Source organism: Homo sapiens, chromosome 8 (genome assembly GCF_000001405.40).
Source record: "Homo sapiens chromosome 8, GRCh38.p14 Primary Assembly".
In the NCBI taxonomy this organism is placed as follows: domain Eukaryota; kingdom Metazoa; phylum Chordata; class Mammalia; order Primates; family Hominidae; genus Homo; species Homo sapiens.
This window is the reverse complement of record NC_000008.11, coordinates 144420048-144428754: the sequence shown is the minus strand read 5'-3', so window position 1 is coordinate 144428754 and position 8707 is coordinate 144420048. Positions and strand designations below refer to the sequence as shown.

At 59.9% G+C, this 8707-nt stretch overlaps 1 protein-coding gene across 5 annotated transcripts, besides 4 other annotated features; it reads left to right on the top strand.

Annotated features, from left to right (window-relative positions):
- Positions 32 to 381: a silencer, noted in NCBI's record as "silent region_19684". NCBI's record gives its function as "represses an Ori minimal core promoter by ATAC-STARR-seq in GM12878 lymphoblastoid cells {active_cell/tissue: GM12878}" and the evidence as "EXISTENCE:reporter gene assay evidence [ECO:0000049][PMID:35858748]".
- VPS28 (VPS28 subunit of ESCRT-I) lies at positions 207 to 5138 on the top strand. Of its 5 annotated transcripts, none has more exons than XM_005272324.4 (10): positions 207 to 266; positions 1776 to 1846; positions 2547 to 2575; positions 2692 to 2729; positions 2983 to 3072; positions 3755 to 3809; positions 3936 to 4037; positions 4487 to 4540; positions 4623 to 4714; positions 4833 to 5138. In XM_005272324.4, the coding sequence occupies exons 2-10, from the start codon at positions 1810 to 1812 to the stop codon at positions 4948 to 4950; spliced, it is 615 nt and encodes a 204-aa protein (XP_005272381.1). In that variant the 5' UTR covers positions 207 to 266; positions 1776 to 1809; the 3' UTR covers positions 4951 to 5138. The 5 variants fall into 5 exon arrangements, with proteins under 5 accessions (XP_005272381.1, NP_057292.1, NP_898880.1 ...); NM_016208.4 differs by having other exon boundaries at positions 3704 to 3809; NM_183057.3 differs by having other exon boundaries at positions 3704 to 3809; positions 4623 to 5138.
- Positions 2112 to 2875: an enhancer, noted in NCBI's record as "H3K4me1 hESC enhancer chr8:145651263-145652026 (GRCh37/hg19 assembly coordinates)". NCBI's record gives its function as "activates a minimal SCP1, AML or CMV promoter by ChIP-STARR-seq in naive H9 embryonic stem cells {active_cell/tissue: H9 hESC(naive)}" and the evidence as "EXISTENCE:reporter gene assay evidence [ECO:0000049][PMID:30033119]".
- Positions 5204 to 5973: an enhancer, noted in NCBI's record as "H3K27ac-H3K4me1 hESC enhancer chr8:145648165-145648934 (GRCh37/hg19 assembly coordinates)". NCBI's record gives its function as "activates a minimal SCP1, AML or CMV promoter by ChIP-STARR-seq in naive H9 embryonic stem cells {active_cell/tissue: H9 hESC(naive)}" and the evidence as "EXISTENCE:reporter gene assay evidence [ECO:0000049][PMID:30033119]".
- Positions 5974 to 6745: an enhancer, noted in NCBI's record as "H3K27ac-H3K4me1 hESC enhancer chr8:145647393-145648164 (GRCh37/hg19 assembly coordinates)". NCBI's record gives its function as "activates a minimal SCP1, AML or CMV promoter by ChIP-STARR-seq in naive H9 embryonic stem cells {active_cell/tissue: H9 hESC(naive)}" and the evidence as "EXISTENCE:reporter gene assay evidence [ECO:0000049][PMID:30033119]".

Here is an 8707-nt window from a genome sequence, read left to right as displayed (position 1 = left end):
CCTGGCAGGCGGGTGGGCGGGGTAAGACCGGGCTTCGAGTCTGCTGCGCCGGTTACGTCCCGGGGGCTGCGCGGCTGGAGGGAATGTCCCGAAGTCCGGGCGGGCGCGGGCGCAGGCGTGAGGGCTGAGCGCCGAGCTGCCGATGGGGACGGAGGGGCGGGGGGTCGCCCCGACGCGCGCAGGCGCAGACATGAGGGGCGAATGCCGAGTCGCTGACCGAGCGCACCCCGCCCCCGGCGCCATCTTCCCGACCGCGAGCCGTCCAGGTACCCGGGGCCCGGCCGGTGGGCGGGGAAGGGGCAGAGTGGGGAGAGGCGACTCAGGGCCTGGCACCCTCTGGGCGCGCCTAGGCCCCGGCACAGCTTCGGCTGAGCGCCGCAAAAGTCACGTTATTGGCATGTTCTAGAAACTGGCTTTCCTTGCTCGTTGTCCACTCTGCGAGGTTGTTTTGCACATTTGCTTGTGGCCGCAGAACGTCCGCTTTCGCTGTTAGGCAGAAGCTCCTGCGTGGTTGGGGCGGTTGGCTCCTCGGCGCTCTCCTGCCTGGCGGCTCCGTGACGGCTGCCGAGCAGCCTCGGTCCCCACCCCGCGGCTCGCAATGGCCTCGACCCTCGGAGAGCTTGACCCAGACGTTCCCTACCTACATGAGCGGCGACGCCCTTTCCCGGCTCTTCCTCGGCTGGGGCGCCCCAGGGCTTCGGCGCGGGCGGCCTTCCCTCACTTCTGCTCTTCTCCCATCCCCGGTAGCACCGTCCACTCCCAGTTAGCCGGCTCAGCGCTGCTCTCCCGGGCCTCTCCACCGAGAGCTTCCTGCGCCTGCCCGCCAGGCCCGCTCCTCCTCCCCTCTCCGTCTGAGTTTATCTTACTGCCCGGCCCATTGGGCCAAAAACAGGGGTGTCGTTCGTAACTCCTTTATTTTAATCCTATCTCAAATCCCTCGGCGGATCTGACGGCTCCACTTTCAAAGAGAGAACGTCTGGAGCTGGCCCAGCTTCCGTGCTAGGCAGGACCCTCCCACGGGCCCCGCTCCCATTGTTTCTCCACAGCTCGCTGCCCAACTAGGGGCACCTCTCCATCTTCATTCCCTAGGACCCCCTCTTTCGAGAAGCTGCACCTTCAGCTTGTTGGTTCCTCCAAGTTCATGCCTACTTAAAGGCGGGCTGTTAAGTGTGTTGTTTCCTGTGCCCCAAACTCTCCTCGTGGGCCATCAAACAGCTGCCTGCCGCCCTCATAACCTCCCTCAACCTCCAGCTTGAACCACACTCCACTGCAGCCCCCGCCCCGCTCTCCTGAGTGTCCATAGTACCTCACTTTTTCTGGTAGCCCCTATAGCACCCTGTGTGTTCACCATTATTGAGCTTAGGAGAGCTCTTCATGGAGCCCTGGGTCTCCAGGACCTGGCACTTACGGGCTGTCTTTTTTTGTCGGTTTTTTTTGTTGTTCGTTTGTTTGTTTTGAGACAGGGTCTTGCTCTGTCTCCCAGGCTGGAGTGCAGTGGCTCGGTCTTGGCTCATTGAAACCTTCACCTCCTGGGTTCAAGCGATTCTCCTGCCTCAGCCTCCTGAGTAGCTGGGATTACAACCGTATGCCACAACGTCCGGCTAATTTTGTAATTTTAGTAGAGACAGGGTTTCACCATGTTGGCCAGGCTGGTCTCAAACTCCTGACCTCAGGTGATCCGCTCACCTCGGCCTCCCAAAGTGCTGGGATTACAGGTGTGAGCCAGCGCCTGGCTTAGGGGCCATCTTTGAGTCGGCCCTGGCTCTGCTCCCCAGGTCTCAGTGCTGTGCCCCCCCCAGAGCCTAGAGGATGTTTCATGGGATCCCAGCCACGCCGGGCATAGGAGGTGAGTGTGGCTGGAAGGGCGCAGGCTTTCAGCCGCTTCTGCAGGGGCTGACGGGCAGTATTGGGTATTGGGGATCGGGGGTGGGGAGGTATCTGACCCTGCTCTCGTACAGCCTTGGGGGTGGCCAGGGGCTAAATAGTTCATTGCAGGAGCACTGAGGGCTCAGAAACCTCCAGACAGAACTGGCTTGGTCCTGCTGGGCAGAGATGATGAGCTTCGGTGTGGCCAGAACGGTGGGGGTCCTGGGCACCCTGTGTCACCAATCCCAGGGGAGAGGCTGTGTGTGGTGAGCCTTGTTGGCACTGCATCATGAGCCACGAGCAGGGCGTGGCCACTGTTGTGCAGGTGACTCCGCCAGGGAGCCATGGTGGAGCTGGGGAGCTGGGCCTGTCATGCGGTCCCCCGGGGAGCCGCAGTGGAGCTGGGGAGCTGGGCCTGTCATGCGGTCCCCCGGGGAGCCGCAGTGGAGCTGGGGAGCTGGGCCTGTCATGCGGCCCCCGGCTTCTCAGAGGTGTTATCATCAGGTCCCCCCACACACTGATAGGGGTGAGGTTGGAACCTCTGTGCTCCAGCTCCCTCTGGGCTCTTTGGGACCCAGCCTGGGAGGCCTCAGGGAGGAACTGAAATGGAGACTGGGACTGGAGTCTGCCCTTGGGTTCCCTTTGGGGCCAGCCTGCCAGCTCTCTGCCTTCTCTTGCAGCCCCTGGGAACAAGCCGGAGCTGTATGAGGTGAGTGGTGGGTGCCCACCCGGCCGGCATTGGCCAACAGCAAATGCCTGTGTGGCCTCACCAGGGTCCTGCAGCCCCTGTTGGCACTGGCCCACAGAGCCCGCTCTCTCCGGCAGGAAGTGAAGTTGTACAAGAACGCCCGGGAGAGGGAGAAGTAAGTCCAGGCGCCCAGGCTGTCCCAACACACCCATGCGCATCTGGCTGCCCTGGGGCAGCCCCTCCAGACCCACCCCAAACTGAGGGGTGGGAGGACGCAGGGTCAGTCTGGGGAACTGTTCCTGAGGCACTCCAGGATGGAGCAAGAGGTGGGCAGAGCGCCCGCAGTGGCACCTCCGGGCAGGGGGTAGCACTCTGGGCTCTAGGCTTGGCACCCCGGGGCCTGGCCCGATAGACAGGTGTGTCCTCAGGTACGACAACATGGCAGAGCTGTTTGCGGTGGTGAAGACAATGCAAGCCCTGGAGAAGGCCTACATCAAGGACTGTGTCTCCCCCAGCGAGTAAGAGCCCACGTCCTGGGAGGTCTGTTCCTGCCCTGGGGGGCTTGGGTGCTCCATAGGCAGCAAGAGCAGGCGTCTGTCAGGCTGGGAGGCACCCACTTGTGTGGGGCCCACCCAGCGTGAGGAGGGTGCCCCTGGGTCTCAGCCAGGGAAGTCCTGGGGGCTGGTGAGGGAGGCGGGCAGAGGCGCAGCTCCTGGGGTGTCATCCGGCCCACTCCCCCACCCTCATCCCCCAGCACAGGCAACCTTAAAAAACGGTCGAGAGGCTTGGGGATGTCCCAGGATCTTTTGGGGGGGCTTTGTTCAATGAAGTGACAAGACCGTCACAGGCCACCGCACAGGACCATGAGCTGTGGATGCGGCCATCACAACAGAGGGCTGGTCGCTGTGGTTCAGAGGGTGGGCAGGGGTTGGGGGCCGGGGTCTCCACCTGGAGCCGAGCTACAAGCCCCACTACGTGCTCAGGGCCTCACCCCCAAAAGCTACTAGCAGCCCCTCCTCCTTGCTCGGCCTGCCTTTGCCTGTCGCCTGGTCCTCTCTGGAAGCTGCTTTGCCTCTGGACCAGCCGAGGGGGTAGGATGAGCTGGGTGGGGCTGGTCCCATGCTTGGGCAGCAGCTGACCTCTCCCTAGGTACACTGCAGCCTGCTCCCGGCTCCTGGTCCAATACAAAGCTGCCTTCAGGCAGGTCCAGGGCTCAGAAATCAGCTCTATTGACGAATTCTGCCGCAAGTTCCGCGTGAGTGCCTGGTCCTTCCACCCCCATGGGGCGAGACTGTCGGGCATGGGTATGGGGTGCCAGAGGGCTCTGGCCACCTGGGGCTTGCTGTCCTGAGAGCCCCAGCACCCATGTCACCCCCAACAGCTGGACTGCCCGCTGGCCATGGAGCGGATCAAGGAGGACCGGCCCATCACCATCAAGGACGACAAGGGCAACCTCAACCGCTGCATCGCAGACGTGGTCTCGGTGCGCCCCAGCCCCCAGGGCACGTGGTTAGGAGAGCCGAGGCTGCCTGCTGCAGCTGGGCACGAGCGTAGGGTCCTGGGCCTCCAGAGCTGAGCAGCACTCTGACTTGCTGGGCAGAAGGGAACCCCTTTAACTAGGAATGAGGGGTGGGCAGCATGCGGGGACGCCCCCAGGCCACCTGGACTCCTGTCGGGGGGATGAGCACAGGGTGCGTTCTGGCGGGGTCCTGGCCTCGGGAGAGAGTGTGGGTGTGGGCCCACCCTTCAGTTCCCACACAGCTGTCTGGGCAGCCAGGACCTCGTTCACCCAGGAGGCCTGCAGGGTTTGGGAACAGAGTACAGTGAGGAGGCCCAAGTGACAGCTGTGGCTGAGGAGGGGTTGGGGCCCGTGAGCCGTGGGGCCTCCCGCACCCGTGGACACGCGAGCCTCATGTGCACACCTGCCCCCAGCTCTTCATCACGGTCATGGACAAGCTGCGTCTGGAGATCCGCGCCATGGATGAGGTGCGGGTATTGGGCTGGCAGGGGGCCTAGGCAGGAGGGGATGGAGCCGGCGTCGGGGTCCCAGCCGCTGTGTGTGTCTCAGATCCAGCCCGACCTGCGAGAGCTGATGGAGACCATGCACCGCATGAGCCACCTCCCACCCGACTTTGAGGGCCGCCAGACGGTCAGCCAGTGGTGGGTGTCCCTCCCAGCCAGGCAGAGCCCCGCAGTGCCCGAGACCCTCCCAGCCAGGCGGAGCCCCGCAGTGCCCCTGAGGCCCTCAGCCCCCACATGCCCTGTGCTGCACTCCCAGGCTGCAGACCCTGAGCGGCATGTCGGCGTCAGATGAGCTGGACGACTCACAGGTGCGTCAGATGCTGTTCGACCTGGAGTCAGCCTACAACGCCTTCAACCGCTTCCTGCATGCCTGAGCCCGGGGCACTAGCCCTTGCACAGAAGGGCAGAGTCTGAGGCGATGGCTCCTGGTCCCCTGTCCGCCACACAGGCCGTGGTCATCCACACAACTCACTGTCTGCAGCTGCCTGTCTGGTGTCTGTCTTTGGTGTCAGAACTTTGGGGGCCGGGCCCCTCCCCACAATAAAGATGCTCTCCGACCTTCCTGCTTGGGTGGCTCCCCCAGGCCTGCCCTGTGTATTCTCTCCACCCTCCTGGGACTCTCAGCATAGAGCCCCTCTCGCCTACCCTCCCCCGACCTGTGTGGTGGCCCGGCCCTGGCTCTGTCCCTGCCACTGCATTCCTCATGGCCTGCATCACTCAGTGACGGCTGCTTCCCTGGTGGGCTCTGCCTGGGCACATAATAGGAGGCAGGGGCGTTTCCATAGCCCCGAGGCCTGGAGAACAGGTCTACCACCTGGGCCAGGCGTGGCTTGACTCTGGCCACAGGGGAGGCTGCCTGCCACCCCTCCCCACGCCTCACTGAAGCCCAGGGCAGCACCAGGTCTTCTGAGTGCAGTCAGGTCCCAGCACACCAGGCCAGGCTGGGCTCAGAGGCGGGGTGCACTTCATGCTGTCAGCTGCTCCACACCCACCTCTCCACTCGGATGACTGCACCCTGGCCCAGGACTCCTGACTTATCTGCAGCTCCAGCCAATTACTCATTGGGTGGGAGTTTGTCATGCCCACCACCAGGGCCTCTCCCCAAGCCCCTGGGCAAAGCCCAAGAGTCAAGGCTGGGCCTGGTGGGGAGGCAGCGGGTGGTGGACGCCGTCCATTCCACAGCGTGTGCTGCACACCTGCTGCTGCCCCCAGGGAAAAGCAGCAGACCACACACCACACCTCTGGGTTCCAAGAGCCGCGTGCTTCACATCTTAGCAACTATGCCCTCAGGATAAGGGACGTGCCAGGGTGTCATTGTAGAATTTTTCTCTCTTAGCGACTGAGAATGCCAGAACCTCTTGACATCTGTGGCATCTAGAGCCGGTGGAATGAGGTGTGTAGAGAAAGGCAGATAGTGAAAATCAAGTCGCTTGGATTTCCGTGGGGGCTTGGGACATCATGGAGGCAGGTGGGCTCTGTGCACAGGCTGAGTGGGGACTGCCTCTCAGACGGCCAAGGGGGGCCGTCAAGCAGGATGACGATGTCAGTGGCTGGAGAGGGAGGCTGAGTCCCGCCAAGAAGCCGGAGGACTGGCCAGGGGCACTGCCATGGGAAGTGGGAAGAGACTGACCAAGGAGCCAGAGAAGAGCCCCCAGGACAGCAGGATCCAGGACACCCAAGGGAGTTGAGGAAGGGCACTGTCGGGTCGGGCCCTGGGGCTCGATGTCCTTGACAGGCACATGTGGGTACGGGGTGCTTCGAGGGAGGACCAGCACCCAGAAACGTGTGTGTGTCAAGGGGGGCAGGTGGCCAGGAAGGGTCATTTTGATCTTTTTTTTTTTTTTTGAGGAGTCGCTCTCTCTCGCCCAGGGTGAAGTGCAATGGCGCGATCTCGGCTCACTGCGACCTCCACCTCCCGGGTTCAAGTGATTCTCCTGTCTCAGCCTCCTGAGTAGCTGGGACTACAGGGGCACGCCACCATTCCCGGCTAATTTTGTATTTTTAGTAGAGATCGGGTTTCTCCATGTTTGGTCAGGCTGGTCTCCAACTCCCAACCTCAGGTGATCCGCCTGCCTTGGCCTCCCAAAGTACTGGGATTACAGGTGTGAGCCACTGGGTGCCAGGCATGTATTTTTTTAAATTTAATTTTTGTTTTTTTTTTTTTGAGACGGACTCTCGCTCTGTCACCTAGGCTAGAGTGCAATGGTGTGATCTCGGCTCACTGCAACCTCTGCCTCCAGGGTTCAAGCAATTCTCCTGCCTTACCTTCCTGAGTAGCTGGGATTACATGTGTTGCCACCATGCCCAGCTAATTGTGTATTTTTAGTAAAAACAGGGTTTCTCCATGTTGGTCAGGCTGGTCTCCAACTCCTGACCTCAGGTGATCTGCCGCCTTGGCGTCCCAAAGTATTGGGATTACAGGTGTGAACCACCGCACACGGCCTGTTTTTTTTTTTTTTTTTTTTAATTTTAATTTTAAATTTTTTATTTGAGATGGAGTCTCCCTCTTTCGCCCAGGCTAGAGTGCAATGGCATGATCTCGGCTCACTGCAATCTCCGCCTCCTGGGTTCAAGCAATTCTCTTGCCTCAGCCTCCTGAGTAGCTGGGACTACAGGCGGGAGACACCATGCCCAGCCAATTTTTTTTTTTTTTTTTTTGAGACAGAGTCTCTCTCTGCCACCCAGGCTGGAGTGCAGTGGCACCATCCCTGCTCACTGCAAGCCCTGCCTCCCGGGTTCATGCCATTCTCCTGCCTCAGCCTCCCAAGTAGCTGGGACTACAGGCACCCGCCACCACGCCCAGCTAATTTTTTGTATTTTCAGTAGAGACAGGGTTTCACCATGTTAGCCAGGATGGTCTGGATCTCCTGACCTCGTGATCTGCCGGCCTCCGCCTCCCAAAGTACTGGGATTACAGGCGTGAGCCACCGCGCCCAGCCGGCTAGTTTTTGTATCTTTAGTAAACACGGGGTTCCACCATGTTAGCCACGCTAGTCTCAAATCCTGACCTCAGGTGATTCGCCCGCCTCAGCCTCCCAAAATGCTGGGATTACAGGCGTGAACCACCGTGCCCGGCCTATTTTATTTTTTTTACTGTGATAAAATATAGCAAATTTTGCCATTTTAACTGATTTTAAGTACACAGTTCAGGGGCATTAAGTGTATTTACATTATTGTACAACCTCACCACCGTCTACCTCCAGAACTTTTCCATCCAAACAAAGTAAAGCTCCATCCCCATTAAACACTCACACACATTCTCCCCTTCCCAGCCCTGGCAGTCACCCTTCTTTCTTTTCTTTCTCTTTTTTTTTTTTGAGAGAGAGTTTGGCTCTGTCGCCCAGGCTGGAGTGCAGTGGCATGATCTCAGCTCACTGCAGCCTCAACCTCCCAGGTTCAAGTGATTCTCCTGCCTCAGCCTCCCGAATAGCTGGGACTACAGGGGTATGCCGCCAGCCTGGCTTAAGTTTTGTATTTTGTTGTTTGTTTGAGTCGGAGTTTCGCTCTTGTTGTCCAGGCTGGAGTGCAATGGCGTGATCTCGGCTCACTGCAACCTCCACCTGCCAGGTTCAAGAGTCGCCTGCCTCAGCCTCCTGAATAGGTGGGATTACAGGCATGTGCCACCATGCCTGGCTAATTTTGTATTTTTTTTTTTTTTTTTTGAGATGGAGTCTCGTTCTGTCGCCCAGGCTGGAGTGCAGTGGTGCAATCTCGGCTCACTGCAAGCTCCGCCTCCCAGGTTCAAGAGTCGCCTGCCTCAGCCTCCTGAGTAGCTGGGATTACAGGCATGTGCCACCACGCCCGGCTAATTTTGTATTTTTTTTTTTTTTTTGAGACGGAGTCTTGCTATGTTGGCCAGGCTGGAGTGCAGTGGTGCAATCTCGGCTCACTGCAAGCTTCGCCTCCCGGGTTCACGCCATTCTCCTGCCTCAGCCTCCCGAGTAGCTGGGACTACAGGCGCCCGCCACCACACCCGGCTAATTATTTTTATTTTTAGTAGAGACGGGGTTTCACCGTGTTAGCCAGGATGGTCTCGATCTCCTGACCTCGTGATCCGCCCGCCTCAGCCTCCCAAAGTGCTGGGATTACAGGCATAAGCCACCACGCCCTGCTGGCTAATTTTGTATTTTT

Coding starts and splice junctions, on each gene's coding strand:
- VPS28 (NM_183057.3), top strand. CDS start 1,810: ATGTTTCATGGGATCCCAGCCACGCCGGGCATAGGAG. Junction 2,576..2,691: donor ACAAGCCGGAGCTGTATGAG/GTGAGTGGTGGG, acceptor TCTCTCCGGCAG/GAAGTGAAGTTGTACAAGAA. Junction 3,810..3,935: donor AATTCTGCCGCAAGTTCCGC/GTGAGTGCCTGG, acceptor CACCCCCAACAG/CTGGACTGCCCGCTGGCCAT.